This window comes from Homo sapiens, chromosome 7, assembly GCF_000001405.40.
Source record: "Homo sapiens chromosome 7, GRCh38.p14 Primary Assembly".
NCBI lineage: Eukaryota > Metazoa > Chordata > Mammalia > Primates > Hominidae > Homo > Homo sapiens.
Window position 1 is genome coordinate 115,933,152 of NC_000007.14, and position 26,542 is coordinate 115,959,693.

At 33.2% G+C, this 26,542-nt stretch overlaps 1 protein-coding gene across 21 annotated transcripts in view; it reads right to left on the bottom strand.

The window, feature by feature from the left end:
- The window catches only part of TFEC (transcription factor EC), a 224,745-nt gene continuing 200,203 nt past the window's right edge, over positions 2,001-26,542 (bottom strand). For 16 of the 21 annotated variants that reach the window (XM_011515970.2, XM_011515963.2, XM_011515964.3 and 13 more), the window contains 5 exons: positions 23,528-23,642; positions 21,435-21,491; positions 17,723-17,798; positions 8,742-8,889; positions 2,001-7,780 (listed from right to left, as the gene is read on the bottom strand). In XM_011515970.2, the coding sequence (XP_011514272.1) occupies positions 7,400-7,780; positions 8,742-8,889; positions 17,723-17,798; positions 21,435-21,491; positions 23,528-23,642 (777 nt within the window). In that variant the 3' untranslated portion in view covers positions 2,001-7,399. Of the gene's footprint in view, positions 8,890-17,722; positions 17,799-20,179; positions 20,372-21,434; positions 21,492-23,527; positions 23,643-24,797; positions 25,917-26,542 lie in introns of those variants that run through there. The other 5 variants (XR_007059992.1, XM_017011877.2, XM_011515969.2 and 2 more) reach the window with 5 other exon arrangements.

The following is a 26,542-nucleotide window of genomic DNA, read 5'->3' on the forward strand; positions in this document are numbered from 1 at the left end:
TGTGGAAAAAGTAATAAATCTACATCTCAATTCTACTTTTTATATTTACCAATGAATAAATAGAAATTTAATGCTAGAATAAATAATGCCTCAGATATATCCTACTTCCTGTCCTTAGGAATATCAGAATCGATTTTACACAACCACCTACTGCTTCTAACATTACAAGTGATTGCAAAGTCTTGAAGAACTTAGAGGCCTGCTTGTTCCATATAAATATATGAAATAACTATTTCTTAAGAGATAACCATGTAACTCAAGCAATATTTTTTCTTTACACATATGCACATCACTCTTCACTTGTGTAAGCAAATAAATTATAATCTCGACTATAGTATTGGTTTTCAGCAATTTAATTTTTTCTGAACATAGCTTTTATTCTATTATAATGCTTGAATGACTCACATGCAGTGTTTCCAATCCACTTTTCCTGGCTTGTGAAACTTTTTAACAAAATGTTAGCATTTGCAAGCACCAGATGTTTTGACATAAGGAGAAGCAATATGTAAATTTTAATCCACGCTAGGAACAATAGCCTGCAGGCACCTTTTTCTTATTACGTGAATCATATACTTAACCACAATGTGGTCGAGCCTATCAAAATCATCACTATCTCAAATGTAATACTTTTGTCTTATGGTTGCCAATTAATGAAACTGATACATATTTAAAATGATAGGCATCCATTACTTAACCAATAAGCCTTATTGTATTTTACTACTTCACTACCACATAGCTAGAACTCTGCAGGTGACAGTAATAACTTTTTAGAGGGTTTTAATCTTCCTTTTGATGGTCAATAAAATCAATGCTTGTATTAGATCTTAATGTTTTATAGCTGCAAATATTATTTTACCAAAAATATTAAAACCTATTACAACTTTTTTCATCTTTTCCACCTTTAAACTCAACTCATGGTAAGGGGTATGATGTATGATATGTGTGTGTGTGTGTGTGTGTGTGTGTGTGTGTGTGTTTCTAATAGGAAAGATTTGGAGACAGCTTCAGTATTTGCTACATGTATTTTCCAATAAAGAATAACATATTCTTTTTAGCTTAAGGATTTTTCTAGGGCTAAAAGAATAACAAAGAAGAACATATTCTTATATGCAGTCTTTTCTAATATTGAAGAGTTATAAAACGTTTTAAATAAGCTCCCACATGGACACGTATATGTATGCCCAAACACACCACAGATGTACATACACATACAATAAACAATCAAGTATCAAAACCATTCAGTCATCCAAATTTTCAGCCTATATACTGTTTAAGAAGTCATCCTGACTTATTTTTACCTGTATTAGATTATTCTTTCCATACAAAGATTATTATAATGATCAGTATTTTGGGCATTGATAATACTTTAAGAAAAATATTCATATGATATCACTTTTTTAAAAAAAGCAAAGAACCTATATTTGAACATAGAATACCACCCTTTATGGTTAACTCTGAGCAGTCCTGTTTTAGTATTTTAAAATAAAGTATGGAGGGAAAAATTTCATAAACATGGTATTAAATATTAGAAAGTCTTAACACAACTGAAATCCTTATTAATTTCATTATCAAAGGATAGGTCTAGTCAATACCAATTAGCAGCTTTAAGATGATTTACATATTAAAATACAGTATTCTATTTATCCTAGATTGTCTGGGGACCATCTAGTATATTAAAAGGTTTTGCAGAGTTTCTTAGTGATTTCACTGCTACCATTATGCCTATTAGCAATTTAGCAACATTCTGATAAATATTTTCCATAAATCAAAGCCATAACAGCATGGTGAAGCAGATGGCAGGAGACCATATTAAAGAATGTAACAATTATTTTCATTAATAGGGAAATATTGAATCATCATTTTCAGCATGGACTATGTAGTGAGTAGTTGTCAGCTGTGATGTCTGGTGACTGTTTTAAATATCCTTTCAAATGATTAACCCACATTCTCTGTTTTCCAGTGCAGTCTATATACAAAGGCAGAACAAAAACTGTAAAACATTTCATAATTATAGTCTTTCATTTAATATATGCAAAGAAAATATTGGTACATTTTAAGGTATTTTTACAAAGATTTTTGTATGTATTAAAGTACACCAAAGTTCTCCATTTTCTTAGAAAATAAGACACATTACTTTGTTATTAAAAATGAAAAATAGCAATAATTACAAATTCTACAGTCTTATTAACAATGTTTTCTTGATCTAACCAATGTCAGATTAAAATTATAGGAATGTTACTTCAGCTATTTGTATATGTAAAACACTATTAAAGTCAAAGATTTTTAACTACATAATAATTATTAAGATTAAATAGCTGAATTAATTTTAGCCTTGTATGCCATAAGCAACTGCTATGCTGTTAGATAAGATTCTTGAATTTCGTTTGCTTTTAAAATTCAGTATCATATTTAAAGAACAATATGTAACTTCTTGATTATATATAATTCTTTCAGCAAAATCAGTCTCTTCTTTTATTTGTATATTTTGTCTGCTACATAAACTACCAGCTTTAGCACAAGAACAAAATTTATATTCTATGGAAAAAATACAGTGACAATATAGAATTTTTGCAATAAAACAGTAGTGCAGGGATAAAAGAGGTAGTATTACAAACACAAAAGTCTTTACTGTTATTCTTTATGCCTGTTGGATAATGTAAGAAAAAGACATTTTACAGAGAATTTCATCAGTAGAAAACACAATAGAAGTCATCTGATTATGCAGAAATACACATAAAAATCCCTTTACAAGCAGATAAAAAGTTCCCTTTTATGTATAAAGCAGTAGACAATAGTACTTCATCATTAAGTTGGTTGAATCCTGGGAGATATATTTTTTAATCAAAATAGCTGTTTTCGGATAATCTCCTATACATTCAAATCTCTATGGACCTCAGAGGGAAAATGTAGCACTGAAAATTTTAAGAAAAGCTATTTTTTCTGCTTTTGGATTGTTTCCTTGTTTTCAAATTAAAATTCATACAAACAATAAAACATTGGAACATCAATGCACAATGATTACAGGAGGCTCATGTAACATAGGAGATCAGTAACACTCGAAATGTATTTTGTATTTATTAGGTAAATGTAATGAAATCTCTGTATATATGTATACTAAGTCAAACTGACATACTTATCAACATATAGGGCACTGGAGGGATAAATGATGTAATTCCATGTAGCACATAGAGACTATGCCATTATCAATACTGAAACAAAATTCAATCCTTCGGGTGTCTTTAAGAAACCCAGATGGTTGATCTTGCGCTGATAACACAGTGAAATAATTAATTGATTCCAGTTTTATTCCACATCTTACACATCAGACGGTCAGTAAATACCTAAAGTGTTTGAATAGGGTCAAAGACATTGTAAAAAAATTTGGAACACTTAGTTATGCCATTTATTTATTTGAACGTTTAAATTCCACAATATCCAAACAGGAAAAAAGTGTTTCCATGATGCCTTGAAGTATAAGAAAATTCCTATATGACTCAGTTTTTCAAAATAAAATAAAAATATATTCCTTTTAAAGTTGTGAAATCTAATTCCCCTCATGACATTATGGTAAATGAGCACACCAAATCAAGACATTCTTTGTATCTGTTTTTTTAAGTAAGAGCTATTAAATATTTGATTTACAGTCATGTAGGTGGGAAAAAAATGAGTTGAAAAAGGAAGAGGAAGGCTATTTCTCAATGTCCCCAGCTCATCTGGCTATTTATTATTTAGGGCTTTTTTAAAAACCTATATAAAGAAAGCCATGGTCACTGATATGCCTATAAACTGAGAAAATACCATCTGTACATATATTCTCCATTTGATATAGGAAAAATTCAAGAAGAAAAGGCACTAAAGAAAAAAATTGTAAAGAGCTGTATCTACTCACAGGAGGTCATCATTATTTTAAGACAATTGGAAGTTGGAAAGGGCTGTTTAATGTGAATCCAAGAAAAAGCAGCCAATATTTAATAATATAAAAAATGATTGGATGGGATATTTTGTTGAAAAAAGAATGAAAAACAATAAAATTATTGTATCTTACTTTAAAGGAAGTTTTATTATAATTGTAATTATGAATTAAATCTTTAAATGAAAAGGGATAATTGTATATTAATTGAATGAATAAATCAATAATTATGCATTAATAGTCCCATTACAGTTGATGCTTTTTGTGACAGCATTGTTTGATAAACATATGCCTCTTTTACTATTATGAAAAATCTCATTTCTGCAAGAAATATTCTAGAGAGTCAAATTTTTCTAGAAGTCTATCTTGTTTCTTAGATACTCAAATAATTTGCTTTTAAATTCACACTATTTTTGTTTGGAAATTTATTTGCATCATTTCAAAATGTTATGGTCAGATGTTTATAACACTCAGTAATTATAGTGAAACTGACCCATATATAATAAATAGAAGGCATAGTTTGCTGAGTGGGGAGGACATGTTTGATAAACGACTACTTCATAAATGAACAACTTTTTTAGTGAATAATCTAAAGTTTGGTACACTATTACTTTCCTATGCAACCTCATCATTATTAGGATTGGGATAATTATATTTAGATAAGTAAGGGTCCCCCCATTGTTATACATGACATTAACCGCACACCTAAGAGACCTGATTCAGGAATTTTTCACTTGGGATCCAAGAAAACATTCAGGAGATCCCTAAGATCTCTGAATGCATGTGAATTATTGTCCATATAAACAGTTCTATACTTTTCTAGGGAGAGGGTCTATAACTCACTAGATTCTCAAGGTATCTGCCTTAAAAAGTTAAGAACTACCATCTAATTAATTTTTAATGTATTTCAGTTGACCGGGACACAGCATAACTCTTTACTCTCTTTAAAAATTCATTACCCTTTTTACAGTTCCCTGACATCTCATAATCTGAATGTAGCAGCAAATAGCAGTTCCCTCTCCAGATCTCTTGTGTCCAGGCTCTATCATCCTGTGCCAAGTCCTTATCTCAGCCAAGATTGTGAAGGATAGATTTCAAGGCCCAGTAGTTGTACCTTAACAGAACAGAAAATAATGACTGAGTAATGACATCATCAGTGCAAGTCTACTCAAAATATGAAGAAATGAGAAGAGCAGATAAAATGAGAACTGAAGCCAGTCTCTATCTAATAAAGTGGTGTGTTTTCTATGAACTCCAAAATATATTCCTTATCTATAATTTTTAACATTTAATCAAATTATCAACTCAGATAATGAAGTGGAATTTTGTTATAAAATTAAAAGTATGTAATATCGTCTTGAAAATTATTGAGAAGATGTATCTAATAGCTGTTTCACATGGCATATTTCAGATGAATTTATCTATCAGGCTTTAATGACTGTACCCAGAAGTTAGTAATTATTTTTCCATGTCAAACAATAAAATTATTTTAATTCTCCAAATTCTGAGCAAATGATACAAGCTAAGCCTGAGATAATTATTATACCATAATGATTTACTATTTTTCTACTTTTATCAGCATTAGGGTCTCACATTTCATAGTGACATATTTTCCATGTGAGAAGCAACTAAAAGATCCTTTCAAAATTTATCCCAAAGCTTAATATTCATGAAAGATTACATCTCACTCATTAGTAATATATATTTTAGTTTTTAGCATCCTCCCTGCTACTAAAAAGATTTGTTTCTATTATATTAATACTATATTATTTCACCATAGTTTTCTAAGGGCCTTCACAACCTGTTGTCAGTCTTATGCTTCAGAACTCCCCAACAGACATCTTCTAGGGCATCCAGATCTTTCTAATTAAAGTCCTATAAAGATACTTCCCCTATTATTCTCACTTTTATCATTTGGTTGGTATTATTCCTTTATATGCCCTCACTTTCACTCAATTAATGCCTTTCAAAGAGAAGTCAAATTCTGCTGTTCCCATAAAGTTTGTCAGTCATTTTCATTTTCTCTGACCTTCTGTATTTACAGTTTATGCTTAGATTTTTTATTCTATATGTCTTCTATCTTTTGTTTTTGTTTTTCATGCATTCTCATTAACTACCTTAGGAGTAAGACCATATCTTTTTCAACTCTTCTACATTTTCTCAGGACTCACTGCAGTTCTGAGTATGCCTCCATGAATACTCATTGATCGGATGATCACTCTTGGAGGTCCAGCACAGAGCAACGTGCTTGGTAACTTAATTTCCTAACCTAAAACAAGCGCAAGAGATAAAAATCTAAATGAAGCATCATAGTTATAAGTGCTTATAATAAATGCTAACAGTGCAACCAAAGATCATAGGACACTCTAAGTGTTTATAGAAATAGAACCTTACGTTCCTCTCAGAACTGAAAATAATAAGAAATAGTTTGTTGTAATAATTATTTTGTCAATTGGCAATTCAATTTTCAATATTTTATCCATTTGGAGAAAAACCAAATCAACAACTAATTGATTTCTGTCCAATACTGATGAAAAGTTTTAAGTACCTGAAAACTGTCCTTGCAGGGGGACATTTTATATTTTATTTACTAAAATTGATGATCTGACATCTCTTCTTCATAAGAAAAGAGAATTTGGAATGTGATTCTGATGCAGTCAGAAGCATGAAGAAAACAAAAGAACATATACTACCTGAATGATGTGCATATGTGTATGTGTATGTTTGTGTGAAGGGATACAATTCTGGTCCATATTCCTGAGGAAAATATTCAATATGTTCCTTTTCCTGAACAGAGACTGGAGATATAAATATGCATGGATGCTTTTAGAATTAGTGTAATTGAACCAACTACAATAAAATGAGGATCTAATTTTAGTAACCAATGTTTTTATAAGTTATCCATATTTTATTGTGGAAAATTCTCACATTTATTGTAGATTTGCCTTTCAACCACAAGTGACAGATAATCTATTATACATTTATTTATCCTATAAAGTTTGAACTTTAGACATGTCTACTAGACAATGGAGAAAGGCAATGACCACCTGATATGTTGATCTTGATTCCGGAAGACTGATGTGAAAGTTGAAGAGAAGATGGAAATGAGTAACTAAGAGACTGTTTGTATATTTCAGTCGTTTAACACTTTGCAGTCATTAGTTCCAGTAGTACACCACCAAGTTGCTGCTTTTAAAACATCAATAAAGAGCTATTTCTTATGCTGTACCTCTTTTCAGGAAAACAGAATTTAAGTGGATTTGGACTCCGTAGTCAAAGAAGAAAACACCTTTTTTTCGCCCTCAATAATTCATTAACACTATGATTTTTCTTCCTGCGAATTCTTCTGTTGCTTCTATCAGTTTTTCATGAACAACACATTCCTTTAAGAAAAAAAATAAGCCAAAGCAACATATGAAACACAGAGCATAATTGCATAGCACCAGCATAGAATTGCTTTCCAGTTGATGAATTGGGTCTGTTTATTTCTTATAATTCATCACCATCATCTGAGCTAAAGCTACTTCTCCTACTGCTTTCTTTGGAAACTGCAGGGGAAGTGGCAGATAGCAGAGGATCTGTTCCAAATGGAGAGATTGTGTCATCCAATAGCATGCCATCCAATCTTTGTTCCTCTTTCAATGCAGCACTAAATGATAAATCTGTGAAGTATGACAAAGGATCAGAAAAGGCTATAGCTTGATCACAGAGCTCAGGGCTTGGCCCCTGAGACACAGTCAGTTGTTGGCAATAGTCTACTGAATTCTGCTCAGGATGGCTCTGCTGTTTGGTGACATGAGCACCTAAATCAACCGTGCCAAGTGAAGCCAGGGTTGGCAGACCATGAGTACGAGCCTGAATTTCTAGTTCCTGTAATTTCAAACGAAAATCATTAAATAATGTCTTTGAAATTGGATTTAACACTAGAGAATAAGCCAGACATAGAATCAAAATATTAACAAGCATTTAAAATGAAGAGTAATACAATACAAATTATGAATAATCTTTGCAAATAATGAAATTGATACATTTCTGATGCATGAAAAATAACTCTGAGAAAATTACTCAGACTTTTTTTTAAGTTTGGTCTCATTGTTCTACAAAGGTTATGACTGATGATGGTTCCATAGTGGCTCAGACTACAATATAGCCATTTGGAGATAGCAGAAAGTCATCTATTTATTCTTCCTGATTAATTTCTCACTGTAAATGCAGGACCTTTTCATGGAAACAGTAAATGTTTTACCTGGTGCTAAGCATACTCACATTTTTAAAAAATCTTGAGAGTTATAAAAGCCCATATTTTGATATTTTGGATTATATGAACAGATGAGAAGTGACTTAATATACACTGTCACAACATGCCTTGAGGCAATGAAATCCATAGCAATGTTGGAAAGAAATGAAAGAAGGAGGGGAGAATTTAATGTCCAATATAATGTAGAGAAACAAATGTTTTACTTAGTATTATTATTTGATTAGGATAATAATGTGTGCATTTATGAAATGAGTTATATTTTATGCATTTTGTAATTTGTTGTCATTATATATGTGTATATATATATACATGCACACATACACACATATATACACATATATGTGTATATACATATATACATATATACATATTCAGCCATCTTGATCCTGGATTTCTAGTCAAATCCTAATTGAAACAACCCAATTCACGAACTTCTAAAAAGCAGTAAAATTATCCTTCAAAAGGAAAAATAATTGTTAATAAGAGAAAAAATAAATGAGACCAATGAAGAAAACTGATGACAGCTGAGTCATGTGTAAGCTATGTGACTCATGGCTACATTCTTATAAAAACCTGAATCCGAAGTAGAAGTCGCCTGTTAGCCTGCTCTAATTTCTTCTGTCTGTGTTCCAATTCTCGGGCTCTCTGTTGTTCTTTTTGTAGCCACTTGATGTACTCCACTGATGCTTTTAGAATGGTTCCTTTGTTCCAGCGCATATCACTGTAGAATGGAGAGATAACCTTTTCACAATTGTGCATGTCAGCAGAATTCATAAGAACTTACAAAATCTTTTACATTAATATGAAATAATGATTTACATGACTATTATTCACTCTTAGATATTATTGCTTCTGAATAGAAATTTTAATAGAATAGTTAAGAAGCCCTTATATAGTAAAATTAATCCCAGAATGAAAATAAGTGTCAAAAGAAAGTAATAAAGTGACTTTTTGTGGGAGAGCTAAATGCAATATCATGATTCTACCATTACAGTTTTTATATTTTTAGTGAAAATTGCTTTTATTATTAACTCCAAGATTAAAATCTATGTGCAGTATTTCTGCATTAATGAACTAGGAAATGTACATTACTGAGGACTTAAGCCTAAATTTTTTAAGATCATTTCAAATGTAGCAATCTTTTAACCTATTTTCTAATAAGGTTGCTTTTATGTTTCTAAGAAAAAATTAAAGTCCCTCCTGAATGGTGATCCTGAGCAATTGTGAAACAAATCAGACTCTGGCAACATCACTTTATGTAATAGAGCAAACTTTCTAAAACCATTCAGTCATTTTTTTTCTATACAAACATCATCAAAACTTTTTAAAAGCTTGATGTGAATAGCTATTTTTAAATACATTTAAGATAAGTAAATATAATTAAACATTACTGGATAACTTTTTAGGCTATAGCATAGAAGAAATCATTTCATTAAAACTTACTTTTAAGACAGGAGAAATTAAAGATATGAAATTGTGGAAGAGGCTACTGATTTTGATATCTGAAAATATACATTAATGAATGTAATACTGCATGAGAACTAATAATATGTTTGGAGAATGAGTCCAAAGTAATTGCTAAATGTTAATCAGAGTTGTTGGAAAACCTGGATACATTTTGAATTTAGAGTCACGAGATGTTTTTAATATAGCATAAAGTACACAGGTAGGGAAATATAACATTTTTCTACATATATTTTTGGTGATGTGACAATGCCATTAGCAGTAAAATATTAAAAGAAGAGACATTTTTCTACCAGCAGGTGAAAGTGCTTACTGGAGCCTGGATAAGAGCTCTGTTCTACTGCAATGCACCAAAACATTGTCAATGGACATCGCAAGTTTGAAAATGCTTTGTCATTTCTTTAAGGCTATAATGGCTGTTGGTCTCATTCCACTCACAGGGGGTGAGGGGAATGAGTGGGATGGTGGTGGTGGGAAGGGTGGGGAGAGACAGTCTATCTTTGGTGCTAAACCAAGTATCTGTAACTGAAACATGTAATGGACTCTAAACTAAAATTTAAGTAGTAGCAAAAGCCTTATGGACCCTTATTTTGTGTCATTTTTTCTCATGGAAAGAAAAGCTTGAGGACAGAGAAACAGATTTAAAAAAAAAGATAACCCTAGCCATATTTGAAGTTTAAAGTACTATTAGTTCAAAAACAAACCTTCAAAATGGTAGTAGAGAACACACAATGAGCCTCCCTTCAATTTGTACCTGATGTCACTTACAATAATTTTTTTAAGTTCCTCTATTTTAAAGAAATTTTAATGTACTAGATTCTTTCCTATTTATTTTTTATATTTACTAAAGAGACTTTTGCCTCTCTCCCAAAACAATTTCAACAAAGTAGGCATTACAAATATTATATAGGGTGGTACCATATAAACACAGACACACCAATAAAGGCATGGCTAAAGAATGAATGTTGATAGTTGATGCTGGCCCTTCATTTTCTGCACAACAATTTTTTAAGATCTTAAAATGTTGGTGGATTAAAAGCCTGAATGCATTTACAGTCAGAGCAGATAATACAAATGTATAAATTGGAGTAAGGAGTGCTGCCAGGCAAAACTATGGAAAATGTACAATCTGTTGTTATCTTAGGGGTGTACATCCACTTAAAAGCATTAAAAAATAATTTTAAAAAAAGATTTTAAAAAGAAAGAAAATAATACTATGACAGGTCTGAATTTTTTTTTTTTTTTTTTTTTTTTTTTGCTTCAACATTTTGTGACTCCTGACTTAGAAAGTTTTGTCAGGTCTCGTATTCTACACCAACTATCATTCTTACACAAAAGCAGGAGGAATTTGGTTGTAGAGGAGAGTAAAGATTAAGTAAAAAAACTTCAAACTATTTAGAAAACTTTTTACAGTGCAAAAACAAGAGTAATAGAGTAATTAAAGATCTAATAATACTTTTAACTTTCTACTCATGTAATTTTTGTAAACATGGCTCACAAAAACACATATGGACAAAAGTGTTTCCAAGAAAGCTAAAGAGGACAACTACTACATGTTGTAGAAGCTCTTCACTCTTTCTCTTTGATTGTTATTTTTGTTTGGGTTTTGTTTTGTTAACACCGGTCAAGAGATTGTCATTGCCTGGTCATGTTTTTTTCATGTAATTTTCTCAACCTGTACGTCTCAATTACAGCTGTTCTCTATATTACTTTTCCTTCTGACCTCACCATTTTGACCTGCAAAGAAATAGAACTTTCTGAATATTTTGATACATAGAAATAAAAACTTCATAGAATTCAAAGTGTCTTCAGGTATTAGCTTTTATTTCCTAAGCCAACTCCAAAATATATTCCAATCATGAGCTGGAAAGGTACTCAAAGGCCAACCATGCCACAATTGCTGCTATATGCCCAAGAGTATATGGTGTTTAGGAGATAAGCCCCAGGTTTCCTCTCTCAATTCAGTACTCTTTCTGCCAACCTGTGGCTTTCCCACCTTTCAAATGCATCTGTCATAAGAAATACGCTTTATATAGTGACTTGGCACACTCTTAGTAAATAAAACTGCAACAAAGATTTCACAGGGCTTTCCTATTCTCTTTACATGTAATACTCTCATATTTTCAATGCTATTCTTCCTTTTTTGTTTAAAATGCTGCATTTGTCTCATTTGAGTGATTCCATGACTCGTTAATAGATATGGCACATAATTTAAAATATCTCATACTAGATAATTGTATAGTCTGATATACTTTTTATTTTTTAAAAACTGTTCTTAGTCATTTTAATGGTTGTAGTCACCTGTTCAACAAGTTATTCAAAAATTTGCTAAACTCAAACTAAAATCTTGTATGGTCTTTTTTTTTTTTCAGATCCACTGTTTGTTAATTTCCTCATTGTCATAACATAATAATGTCATTTCTTCTTTTATTTTCTCACCCTCAAAGTAAATTTGCCTCCTCTATGCTACCCTTCCCTTTTTCCAGCATTCTTGTTTCCTGTGACTTTTAGATTATCCCTAATAACATTTGAAAATTTGACAAATGGATCCAGAATAATTTTGTCACGTAGATGGGTACTCCTTAGTCCATGGAGCCAGACCATGGTTCTCAGGTAGAGTCATTTTAAGAGGATACACTCTGGATTCAATCATGGGACCCTCATTGCTAAACCCTAAAGAGGGACACTGGAGTAACAGGTGAGGCCACAGCAAGCCAAGGAATAAAATGTATTTAAACAGAATTAGTACTGAGATTTTTGGAATGTCACACATTTCAGTGAAGTGTCTTCTCTACCTGTGATATACGGAAAAATCCACGTATAGACATATTCAACATCTAATTAATGTGTTTTCCATTAGACCCCAAATAAATGTTATTTGCCTACATACAACACAATAGAAATAAAACAAATAATAACCCTCCTTTCTGAGATTCATAAGGAAGAGAAAAACAATGCTTGCAATGCAGTTTTCCCAATTCTGGTCTATCATAAATTGAATTTTCATATTCTAGACCAAGGGTAGACAAACTACGGCCCATAGCTTATTTTTGTCAATAAATTTCACTGGATGAGGTCAAGCTCATTCATTCCATGTTGTCTGTGTCTGCTTTCATGCTACAATGCCAGAGTTAAATAATTGTGACAAAGACTTTTGTATGGCCTGCAAAGCTTGAAATATTTACTATCTGGCCCTATACAAAAAGTACTTACCATTCTATGTTCTAGAAAATGAATTAGAACTAGAAAGGAGTCTTTAGATAAAGTTTTTATTAAAATTTGGAGTAATAATCTCTCATAAAACTTTATAACTTGCAAACTATTCCCATACACCTTATTTGATTTTATTTTTATAAAAACACAGGCATATAGGGAAGACAAGTGTTTTCTTTAGCTAACAGAGTCACATGTTTAGAGACTTTAAAAGATTTGAAGAGTTTGGAGTAGAGTCTAAATTAGGCCTGAGCTCTTCAGACCCTAAATGTCTTCACAATCTAGTATGTACATAAGGACAAATATTGCATTCCCTTTTCTAACAAATTGTTGAATTGTCCAAATAAATGAGCAAATTCGGATTTAGAGAAAAAGTGCTTTAAAATCTCAGAAACATAACGTGTGTGTGTGTGTGTGTGTGTGTGTGTGTGTGTGTGTGTGTAGGGTCTTATTCTACCACCCAGGCTGGAATGCAGTGGTGCGATCATGGCTCACTTAAGCCTTGAAATCCTGGGTTCAAGTGATCCTTGTGTCTCAGCCTCCTGAGTAGCTTGGAGTACAGGTGCATGCTACCATATCAAGCTTGCTCTTTCCTTCTTTCTTTCTTTCTTTTTTCTTTCTTTCTTTCTCTCTCTCTCTCTTTATTTTCTTTTTCTTTCTTTCCTTCCTTCCTTCTTTTCTTTTCTTTTTTCTTTTCTCTTCTTTTCTTTTCTTTTCCTTTCTTTTTTTTAGAGGTCGGATCACACCCAGGTTGATCTTGAACTCCCGGCCTCAAACAATCTTCCTGTTTGGTCCTCCCAAAGTACTGGGATTACAGGCATGAGACAATGTGCCTGGCCCACAAGTATCACTTTATCAAACATGATCATTTCCGGATAATGAATAATATCCAGTATTTGGAGAAAAAAGTTCTCAGTTTTTTTTTAAATTTATTATTATTATACTTTAAGTTTTAGGGTACATGTGCCAATGTGCAGGTTAGTTACATATGTATACATGTGCCATGCTGGTGCGCTGCACCCACTAACTCGTCATCTAGCATTAGGTATATCTCCCAATGCTATCCCTCCCCCCTCCCCCCACCCCACAACAGTCCCCAGAGTGTGATGTTCCCCTTCCTGTGTCCATGTGCTCCCATTGTTCAATTCCCACCTATGAGTGAGAATAGGTGGTGTCTGATTTTTTGTTCTTGTGATAGTTTACTGAGAATGATGATTTCCAATTTCATCCATGTCCTACAAAGGATGTGAACTCATCATTTTTTATGGCTGCATAGTATTCCATGGTGGATATGTGCCACATTTTCTTAATCCAGTCTATCATTGCTGGACATTTGGGTTGGTTCCAAGTCTTTGCTATTGTGAATAATGCTGCAATAAACATACGTGTGCATGTGTCTTTATAGCAGCATGATTTATAGTCCTTTGGGTATATACCCAGTAATGGGATGGCTGGGTCAAATGGTATTTCTAGTTCTAGATCCCTAAGGAATCGCCACACTGACTTCCACAATGGCTGAACTAGTTTACAGTCCCACCAACAGGGTAAAAGTGTTCCTATTTCTCCACATCCTCTCCAGCACCTGTTGTTTCCTGACTTTTTAATGATTGCCATTCTAACTGGTGTGAGATGGTATCTCATTGTGGTTTTGATTTGCATTTCTCTGATGGCCAGTGATGGTGAGCATTTTTTCATGTGTTTTTTGGCTGCATAAATGTCTTCTTTTGAGAAGTGTCTGTTCATGTCGTTCACCCACTTTTTGATGGGGTTGTTTGTTTTTTCTTGTAAATTTGTTTAAGTTCATTGTAGATTCTGGATATTAGCCCTTTGTCAGAAGAGATAACTAAAATCAGAGCAGAACTGAAGGAAATAGAGACACAAAAAACCCTTCAAAAAATTAGTGAATCCAGGAGCTGGTTTTTTGAAAGGATCAACAAAATTGATAGACCGCTAGCAAGACTAATAAAGAAAAAAAGAGAGAAGAATCAAATAGATGCAATAAGAAATGATAAAGGGGATAACACCACTGATCCCACAGAAATACAAACTACCATCAGAGAATATTACCAACACCTCTACTCAAATAAACTAGAAAATCTAGAAGAAATGGATAAATTCCTCGACATATACACTCTCCCAAGACTAAACCAGGAAGAAGTTGAATCTCTGAATAGACCAATAACAGGAGCTGAAATTGTGGCAATAATCAATAGCTTACCAACCAAAAAGAGTCCAGGACCAGATGGATTCACAGCCGAATTCTACCAGAGGTACAAGGAGGAACTGGTACCATTCCTTCTGAAACTATTCCAATCAATAGAAAAAGAGGGAATCCTCCCTAACTCATTTTATGAGGCCAGCATCATCCTGATACCAAAGCCGGGCAGAGACACAACAAAAAAAGAGAATTTTAGACCAATACACTTGATGAACATTGATGCAAAAATCCTCAATAAAATACTGGCAAACTGAATCCAGCAGCACATCAAAAAGCGTATCCACCATGATCAAGTGGGCTTCATCCCTGGGATGCAAGTCTGGTTCAATATATGCAAATCAATAAATGTAATCTGGCATATAAACTGAACCAAAGACAAAAACCACATGATTATCTCAAAAGATGCAGAAAAGGCCTTTGACAAAATTCAACAACCCTTCATGCTAAAAACTCTCAATAAATTAGGTATTGATGGGACGTATCTCAAAATAATAAGAGCTATCTATGACAAACCCACAGCCAATATCATACTGAATGGGCAAAAACTGGAAGCATTCCCTTTGAAAACTGGCACAAGACAGGGATGCCCTCTCTCACCACTCCTATTCAACATAGTGTTGGAAGTTCTGGCCAGGGCAATTAGGCAGGAGAAGGAAATAAAGGGTATTCAATTAGGAAAAGAGGAAGTCAAATTGTCCCTGTTTGCAGATGACATGATTGTATATGTAGAAAACCCCATTGTCTCAGCCCAAAATCTCCTTAAGCTGATAAGCAACTTCAGCAAAGTCTCAGGATACAAAATCAATGTACAAAAATCACAAGCATTCTTATACACAAATAACAGACAAACGGAGAGCCAAATCATGAGTGAACTCCCATTCATAATTGCTTCAAAGAGAATAAAATACCTAGGAATCCAACTTAAAAGGGATGTGAAGGACCTCTTCAAGGAGAACTACAAACAACTGCTCAAGGAAATAAAAGAGCATACAAAGAAATGGAAGAACATTCCATGCTCATGGGTAGGAAGAATCAATATCGTGAAAATGGCCATACTGCCCAAGGTAATTTACAGATTCAATGCCATCCCCATCAAGCTACCAATGACTTTCTTCACAGAATTGGAAAAAACTACTTTAAAGTTCATATGGAACCAAAAAAGAGCCTACATCGCCAAGTCAATCCTAAGCCAAAAGAACAAAGCTGGAGGCATCACACTACCTTACTTCAAACTATACTACAAGGCTACAGTAACCAAAACAGCATGGTACTAGTACCAAAACAGAGATATAGATCAATGGAACAGAACAGAGCCCTCAGAAATAATACCGCATATATAAAACTATCTGATCTTTGACAAACCTGAGAAAAACAAGCAATGGGGAAAGGATTCCCTATTTAATAAATGGTGCTGGGAAAACTGGCTAGCCATATGGAGAAAGCTGAAACTGGATCCCTTCCTTACACCTTATACAAAAATCAATTCAAGATGGATTAAAGACTTAAACGTTAGACCTAAAACCATAAAAACCCTAGAAGAAAACCTAGGCATTACCATTCAGGACCTAGGCATGGGCAAGGACTTCATGTCTAAAACACCAAAAGCAATGGCAACCAAAACCAAAATTGACAAATGGGATCTAATTAAACTAAAGAGCTTCTGCACAGCAAAGGAAACTACCATCAGAATGAACAGGCAACCTACAAAATGGGAGAAAATTTTCGCAACCTACTCAAAAGTTCTCAGTTTTAATGAAATATTTTCAAATCATTATTAATGCTACAGATTCCATGTTTTCACTTTTTTTTTTTTTTGAGATGGAGTCTTGCTCTGTTGCCCAGGCTGGAGTGCAGTGGCATGATCTTAGCTCAACACAACCTCTGCCCCCTAGGTTCAAGCAATTCTCCCACCTCAGCCTCCTGAGTAGCTGGGATTACAGGCATGCACCACCACACCTGGCTAACTTTTGTATTTTTAATAGAGACAGAGTTTCACCATGTTGGCCAGGATGGTCTTAAACTCCTGACCTCAAGTGATCTGCCTGCCTTGGCCTCCCAAAGTGCTGGGATTACAGGCGTTCACATTTTTAAAGAAACATTCAACATTTTAAGTTAACACTTTATTTCTCAATATTTACAAGAGTAAGTAATTTGTTTGATGGACATTTTGTGCATACAGCACAAAGCCTGGTCAGCATCAATCAATATGCTTTTATGATTCCATTTGTTACTTGTGTGTCTCCAAAATTCGGGGACCTTGGAAAATCTAACAATTCTATTTTCACTTGCACACAAATTTTAAATTGGAAGAATTGTTATACTCATAAAAATTGAATATACCAGTCAGCATCATAAGTAGTATTTGACATTATCACTAAATTTGACAATATTGTCACCATACAGAAAGACTCACTATGAACTGAGGAAAAATAACTTATTTACTTCTTATAGCTCAAGAGGACAACTCTTAGTAACAGCCCTGATGCTCAATAACAATCAGACTGGAATAGACATTTTAAAATGAGCCCAGCAATAGCCTTATTTTTGCTATAAGCTGCTTAGTTTCCTAGTCATTGGTTCTCTCCTCCCTTCTTCCCTCCCATTCATTTTGGGGGTCTTTAAATTATAACATTATTATAGAAATGATTGTTGAACTCACGGATCATTAGACTTTGGAATAAGAGTGCCAAGCTCCTTGATTCGGTAATTAATATTATACCTTCTTCTTCTTTCAACTATTAAAGAAGAAATATTATTGATTATTCTCATTAATGCACAGTTCACTTTTGGTCAGCTGTAAACATTTTTAACAATCTTTTAAAAACAATGGGAAAAAAACTTTCCATTTAGTCAAAAGATAATACTTCTCAAGAATAAAATAAAAATTCTCATTCTAAAAGTAAAGGTTTCAATATTAGAATTATAAATCTATGATTTACACTGTTTTAAAAACATTTTGTCACAAAACATTTTTAAAAATTCCTTAAAATACTATAATACTCATAATGAAATGTGTATAAGTATATATTAACATGTATAACTCTTTGATTATTTCACACATTGGCAATTTGTCAGTCCATCAGGATTGTAATCATTCGAGGTCGTGCAACACTCTTTACTCTTCTCATATACTGTCCTCAAAGCCTAACGCAATGTTTAGCACATAGTAGGTCTGTGTATCCAATTAGACTCTATGACCTCCTTGAGGGCAGGGACCTAACTTACTTATTTTTGTATCACCAGAGAGCTTGACATATAGGAGGTGGTAAATAAATGTATATTGATTAGGCTGTAAATTTATTTTTCTATTTTAGTTTCCAATAATATATAAATAAGTGGTTTTTATACTTTGGCACTCTTTAGACACACCTGGAAGGATTGTTAAAATAGATTTGCACCACACACTTAAAGATTCTAATTTTAGTGTGTCCTGGAAGTAGGGGGACAAGAGTGGGCAAGAATTTCCATTTCTAACAAGTTTCATGGTGATGCTGATACTGTTTTTGTGGGGCCAATGCTTTGAAAACTGCTGATATAAGCTCTTATTCAGAGACTGTTTTCTCTTTTTGCATTTCCATACATTCATTGCTTATGGCAATTTTCTGAACATCGTAAATGTTCAACATACAATATATATCTGTCAAATTTCCTGTATTACTCTTCTCTAAGAGCAGTCTTCTACTCTATATTCCTAATATCAAGAACCATAACATATACTTATACATGGTATCTTTTTCAACAGATATGTTTAAAGCTTTTGGGGAAGTAAAGGTAGAAAAGGATATGAAGAAGAAGGAAAATATATTTTTTTAAATGTTGGAAAATACTTAAACAGTTCACATTTGAGAATTATGAACTGCTACTAGAAACAAGGAAAGTCATCAAAGACTATCAATTGCCTTGGTGAACTTACTCTACAAAGCAAATTACATGAATGAATTTGACCTTTAGGAATAATACATTGTGATTCCTCTAAAATGAGAATATAATTGGTTCTGGTAAGAGTTTATTTTCCCTCTTCACCAATCCTATTTCCCCTGTGCACATAATTCAAATAACAGCAAAATGACACCACAAAAAACACTGACTAGAAAATAAAGGTAAAGCTAATAGAAACATATATACACACATATAATACATATATACTTATATAGAAATGTATATATATAACATATGCACATATAAAATAATAAGAATTTCTTAATAATTTTGTGTCCACACACATTAACTCTTATAAGCCAGACTTTTAAATACAAGATGAAGAACAACTATGAAGGAAGTTCAGAGATTTTTTTCTCAAAATAAGGGACTGTTTTTGTCCTGTCACATTTCTTTAAGATATTTTATTTAAATTTATCTGATGTAGAATGTCAGAACCTTCTTCTCTACTCTTCTTAGGTAGTAGTCTATGAATTTTTAAATGGCTAATTAGAATGAGAAATCTGGCTCCCAATGGTGTTCATACCTAGTACTAGTTACTTATAAAGGAGTCAAGTTTTAAGAAATTACTAAACTACTTCATGTCATGGTGGTTTCACTCTTCACAAAGTTTTTGACATATTCACTTAATCCTGTACTTAGATCCAGGCAAGAGAGGCTCTTACTCTGATCAATATTTAGAGGAAGCACTCTTGCCTTCTCTGGCCATGCCTCTCTCCACTCAGCAAGGCAGCCACAGGGCCAAGGGAACCCTTCTAAACTATACTCTGGGTTATCGGCACAAGCAATTTCCTCCCTAATTCCCTGAGTTCACTTCCAGAGCCTGTGCAGACCACCTCCCTGGGTCCATCCTCCTGAAGACAGAACATGACACCGATGTGCTCACTGGGGGCCCCAGTTCTGACCAATGGGCAGTTGTTTGCAGGGCTGTATATGGAGCTTGAATGTACAGGACAGGGTGTTCACCGTCACATTTGAGGCCACTTGTAGCACAGAATGGAATAGGGGGTGCAGAAAGAACAGTGGGGGGCTGCAAGCTGAGAGCTGACACTGCCCTGCCCTGACATTTTCACGCCAAAATCCTATGAGCTGAAAATTCTAAATTCACTCCTGGCCTCTGGGTCTTTATGAAGAATGGAACATAATTTTATGTAAACTTCTGGTAAATTGGACTTACTTTGTAATTTTGCTATGATCATCACAAGTTTTTAGGGTTTTTCTAGATTCATTCTATTTAAAACTTATAATTTTTTAAGTGTTTGTTTCCTCCAAAAGCAAGATGATGTAGCAGGTGTATCTAGATTAAGAAACACTTCGATAATGGATATACAGGACACCATGTTACTCTACATTAAATGACTTGTTTAAGCTGCAGACACAGAAGAGAGAAGGTAGGATTAAGGTCAGTAATCGTTAAGTGGCTGATTAAGAGAAAAGTCCAAAAGTTCCTCAATTTACTAATCCCTTCTCTCAACCATTAGCTCTCCCCACTCATAATCTGGACCAAAGTTATCTGCTCTGACACTAAAGCCTTTGAGAATAAAATCATTTCTCAGAGGACTGTTATGACCATGTGCCAGCTCTTGTCTTACAGTCACACACTCAGCAAACATCACTGTGACACAGGCAGGTGCTTTATGAACAGATGCAGGTTTCACAAGTACGTGTATACTCAATTTCAGCTAGCGATACATAAGGAAATTAGTCATTAGTTTTAGGAATTTGCAATATTTTATTTATTTTAATTTCATTCTACTCTGTTCTCAGTTTTTGATTTGGCTTCCAGAACGAAAAGGCTTCACACTCAATTAGTCAAGCTCACTTGAGACAGTTACACATTTAAGACATGACCAAGCATTCTAAAGCTCAGCCTCGCTGCCAATCTACTTTTCTTGCCCGATTTCTCCATCTCATATGACCTGTTATCAGAGTCTAATTGACCCTTAGGAAGGCATGAGGGCTCTATTTGTTCCAGAGGTGAAATTCAGCACTGCAACACAGCAATGCCTTTCAGATAACATATCATTAAGAAAGGAGGAGCAAATTGACACAGAAAAATGAGAACCTGGAGTTATGTTTCTTATTATTTAAATGTTGTACATTTTCAAAAGTCACTTTTATCTCTTTAAACCTTTGAGTCAGTGAGTCACAACAGAATTCAAATGTAACCAAATGCACTCATCTCAGTCACAGGCAGCCTCCTTGGAAGTGAATGATCAAGGAGGGAATTCGAGATGTTTCATTTTGTGAAAATAGATAGCTTTTCTGAGAGCTCACATTGTTAATATTTCCCAAAATAAATCAAGTTATATGTGCAATTAATTTTGGCCATCTGACATGAAAATACTTATGGAGTATAATAAAAGACCACACACCTTAACCTCTATGCATTTCCTTTTGCATTAATTTTATATGGAAAAATATATACTCACTGAGGTTGTGGTTGTCCTTTTTTTGTCTCTCTTTTGCTAAAGCTCTAGTGTCAGTTTCTGATCAAAAGAAAAATAATAAAAACCATGCTTAGTTCTACCTTAAAACCCCTCCAGGCAACATAATTCAGAACTCCTAGGTGAAAATAAAATATTATTTGCTCCAAAACGGTACAATAATATTTTTGATGCAAATATTCAGAAATTTGGAAAACAGTACTCTTCAGTGAAAGGCAATGGCAAAGCTTTTAGGCTCTGGGATAATAAAAACTGAATTTATTTTCTGGCCCTCCATTTAATAGCCATGTGATCTATTGCCACACTTCTCTGTGTTTCAGGCTCTTCATCTGTAAAATGACTATAATACAATACCTACCTTAAAATCATTGTGATAACCAAAAGAAATATAGTATACAGAAAATATAGTATTCAATTATTATTTTCAGAATTTTGAGATTCAGAAATTATTCCAACCTAAATATTTTATTAGTAATTATTATTTCTACATCCCAAGAGTTGCAACTCACTATATTTCTCAAATATCCATATGAAACACTTCCACACTTTCTTCCAGTAAATGGCACTTCCCTGTATATATGGTGTGGTTGTATTTATATGACCATCAACCTCCAGGATGGCCTACAATGATTCTTAATTTGTAGTATTCACACCTTGTAATTCCCTCCCACATTAAATAAATAAGGCTGACCTGTGAAGCCACTAGCTTGTTGTGGAAATGACTAGTATGGTATCCAAGGCTAGATAATAGGAGAAATTTTTAACTTTCACATTGGCATCTCTTTGATCTCTAGTTGTCATGTCATGAGGACACTCAAGCAACCCTATGAAGAAGTCCAAGCAGTCAGGGACAAAGACCACTTGCCAACAGGAAGCACTATCCTACAAGAACTTGAGTGAAACACCTCGGGAGTGCATCCTCCAGCCTCAGTCAAGTCTCAGGTGTCTGTACTTCTGGCTGACATCTTGACTACAGCCTCATAAGAGATTCTGGTCTGAACGAATTCACTAGGCCACTCCTGGATTCTTGATGCTCAAAGACTGAATGAGATTATAAATGTTTATTACTTTGAGATTATAAATGTTTATTACTTCAAGTTGCTAAATTTCAGGGGTAATTTGTTGTTATGCAACAAAAATAATACAATATTATTAGAGTTATAGTTTAAAAAGTTAATAAGATAATACATTTTATTTAAATGTATTTATTTAAAACTATAGTCATTAATTTTAGTCTGAATAATTTGGATGCATAGACATTTTTGAATTATTGATTGAGCTTTAAGAGTGGTCATGTTGTATTTATTTAAAATTTTACCGTGGTGTTTGAGCTCCAAACCAAAAGTTTATTGCAGAAATCTCAAGTGAATTTATTTACTTTATTCTTACGGAGGATCTAACACTGGACTTGGAAGTCAGGAAACCCTTACGTTGATCCAGTTCTGCCTGTAATCAGCTGTTACACCTTTAGGAAAGTAGCTCCTTTGACCCTGGGTTGATTTCCTCATTTATTTTGGAAGAATTTGACTATGCTCCTATAATTTGAGTTGTAACAATTAAAATAAACTATTGAAAACTCAGGGTTTATTTTCAATTAAGAAAATTAAATGTGAGTCTATCATGAAATCCATAAAACAAGCTAAAAAGAAAAAAAAATCCAATATTTGTTTTTTATCAAATTCTGCATACAAAGAATAGACTAATTTCTCTAATTTATTATTTCACTTTGTAACCATGTTAATAAATGGCATCTATTTAATATAAAAATGAGCCTATGTTAAATGAAGCTGTCTTTTATATATGTATGTATATATGTGTGTATATACATGTATATATGTATGTAAAACATATATGTGCATTTGCTCAATTTCCAAAATAATGAATCAATTCAGTCAAACTATAAGTTATTTTAACTTACTGCTTGATTATCATAAAAAGAAAAGATGAATTTACTGTCTGCCTTCTTTTTTGTAACTGTTTTGTTATACTTTTAAAATCCTAGTTAGCACAATATATGTCACTCATAACTTATGTCATTAATAAAAATAAAAAGGGTAAAACTATAAAAGCAACATTACCTGTAATTTCTCTTTTCATTGGTAGACTACTTGGACAAGAAGCACTTGTAAGCCCCATGTTAATTGGTGAAATTCCTTGTTCACCGCTATACACATCCAAAATACTTCCAGATAACTTGAGAGGAAAAAGGAAGAAAAGATTAATAAAAACCTTCTGTGCAAATTGATATATTTAGTTATATATATTACATTTTCCACTTTAAATGTGGCATTTTGTTAATAATAATTTCTAATTTGGGGCATTTTGCTTTTAAACAAGACGAGTATGCATTAACTTTTTAAAAGATGCATTATAAAATGCTTACAGATAAGATGCGCTGAAAAAAAGTTATATGTGTTTAAGCAAAAAGAGAAATCAGTTCATGTATGAAGGAAAATTCCTATTAATATTTACAAAGTTATGGAAGTTTGATCCAGCATATGACCTGGTTATAAATGGATGTAATTAAAAATATTATTTTGGACAAAAATCAATATACATCTTTGCAAAGCTGGAAAGTTCACCACATCCCACAAATTAGGTATAACGGTTGAACATTTTGGGACCCTTCTTAATACCATCAGTGCTACCAGCAACTCACAGTCAAGAGGTGTTTTACACTGTTAATTAAATGAGAAACTCTTCCCTTCCTGGAAGGCATACTTTTTCTCATTGTACACTTAATGTTCTAGATTATTATAAATATCCCAGCTGGTAACCAAAAGTAGTCTAAAACTACTTTTGCCTCTAGTGAATATAGGGTACATCCAATTATAGCAACACTGCAATTCTTGAACTGCTTCTTGGGAACAATTTTTCAGAAAACCTAAGTTGCTTTATACACAATTCAAAATTGCACCAATTCATTATTCAAAGTGTGCTTATTGATTTGATTTCCCAAGAAAATAACATTTAAGTAATATTCATATTTCAGGTTAATACTCATTATTCCAGAACAAGCTGCATTCACTATGCAGGATTTGAAATTTTAAGATATTTCCATTGTGAGTATCTTTCTTCCACTTCTGTGCAATAAACCAAGAGCTGAATAAGAAGCAATTTTTTTTATTTCCTCAATGACTAGGAATAAAACATATAATAAAACAATGCTTTAACAAGTCTTCATGAAGAATCTAACTTCACAACCCACTTTTTGCAAAACTCCAATTCAATTTGAGAGAACTGATAAAATCAGACAGGAAGTAAATATGAAGAAAGGACATATTATATCCAAAATTAGTTTCTGAGATAATAATCTATTACAGTATATATAATAAATGTTGTATATACCTGAGGGGAAAAATTGGAAAATACAGTTGAAATCACGTCAGTTTATATGCATATCAATAAGGACATTTTAGACTTATATGGCTCTCAGATGTATTTTTTCATATTTTTTCATTATTAACTCTATTAGGACTCTTCACGTTTACTTTATATAAACTTAATTGTAAGAGAATTTTTGCTTTATGGGTCTTGGAAGGGAGCTATAAAAGCCACCTATTGGAGTCATCAGCTATTTCTCCTCAATTTTCTCATCTGTAAAATAGGGACAAAGTTGAGCAAATTAGGCAGACAATGTGTGTTAGTATCAAATAAATACAATTATTCTTTGGAAGAAATCCAAAAAGCAGATGTTTTTCTAAGATGTGACTCACTTAGCCATACTTTTTAAAGTGTAAATTTTCCAAGGTCATTTTTGAAAGGCCTGTTGGTTATGAGCTGAGGCATCACCAGCTTGAATTGCACATTTCCACTGTGCCTTTGAGAAGCATAATGGACACGTTGAACAAAAAGGGAGTGAGGGGGACAGAACTAGGAAAAGGGCACTTTCCCTCTGAAGAGCCTGAATTCAGATGGACTTCAATGAAGAAGTGGCAAGTTGCAGAAATGTTAAGGAAGAAAAGGAGCCATATTACAGATATACCGCAACAATAAAGTAAGAGGTACCTAACTATAGCATTTCCTTGCCTCCATATTACCTAGTCAGACAGCACCCAGTGCATTATTCCTTAGAAATGGGGTTTAAATTCTGATAATGAATCTAATCCGGCTGAACTGTAGCCGTATTGCATATTCTTCTGATCTTGGTTATTGTCTAATTTATGCCCTAAAGCACAATAATTAATATCCTATTTAATTTTATGCTATAGGTACTTCTCTATTTCATGTAAATGGCTCATCACTTTTTGAATATCATTAAACAATTGAGTTCAGTTTCAAAGTGTGTAATACACTTCATGTAACCTAAAGTGCATTTTCTCCATTAAAAGATGTAAGAGTCCAGTGTTAGTGAAAATGTACAGATTGCATTCACCTGTGAAAAAGTTTACAAAGAAAACTTCTATCAACATTTGTCAAAGGTATAAGTAACTTAGGTAATAAAGTCCAAGTTTTAACTTAATTTTGTAGATCAGTAGGCAAATGAATACCTATTTTATGAAGAAATATTTATTATGATATTTTTAAAAGGTTGCTTTCTCAGTAAAGCAAAATCTTTGATGTGACAATAGGCAAACATTATTATTAACAAAAAATTCACAAACTTTAAAGACATAAAATAAATAATTTATTATAAAATCCAGTCAACAAAGTGAGAGAGAAGGCCTGATAGAGCAGAGTCTACTTCTCTATAAGGCAATACTTCTTTCTGATAGAAAAAAGTGAACTCCTGATCTGAGAAACTGCTTTGAGGTGAGGAGTGAATAACAGTAGTTTCCTGGTATCAGAGGCTCTTCGCCGTAGATTTTATTCACATCTCCACGCTGAAGTCATAGGGACTGAAACAAATAGAGTCTAACCTTTCCACATATACACTGCTATCTACAGTAACTAATATTTCCTGAAGAAAATGAGCTAGCAGGTCAAAATATCAAAATATTTGAGGAAAATGACTATTTCAAAAGTAAGGCAACAAACACCATTATAAATAACATCAAAGGTATTTGTAATAACTTGTGATATAAAATAATGAACAGTAAACATAATGACCAAAGAGACCAAGGAGAAATGAGAGATATGAGAAATAGAATGCT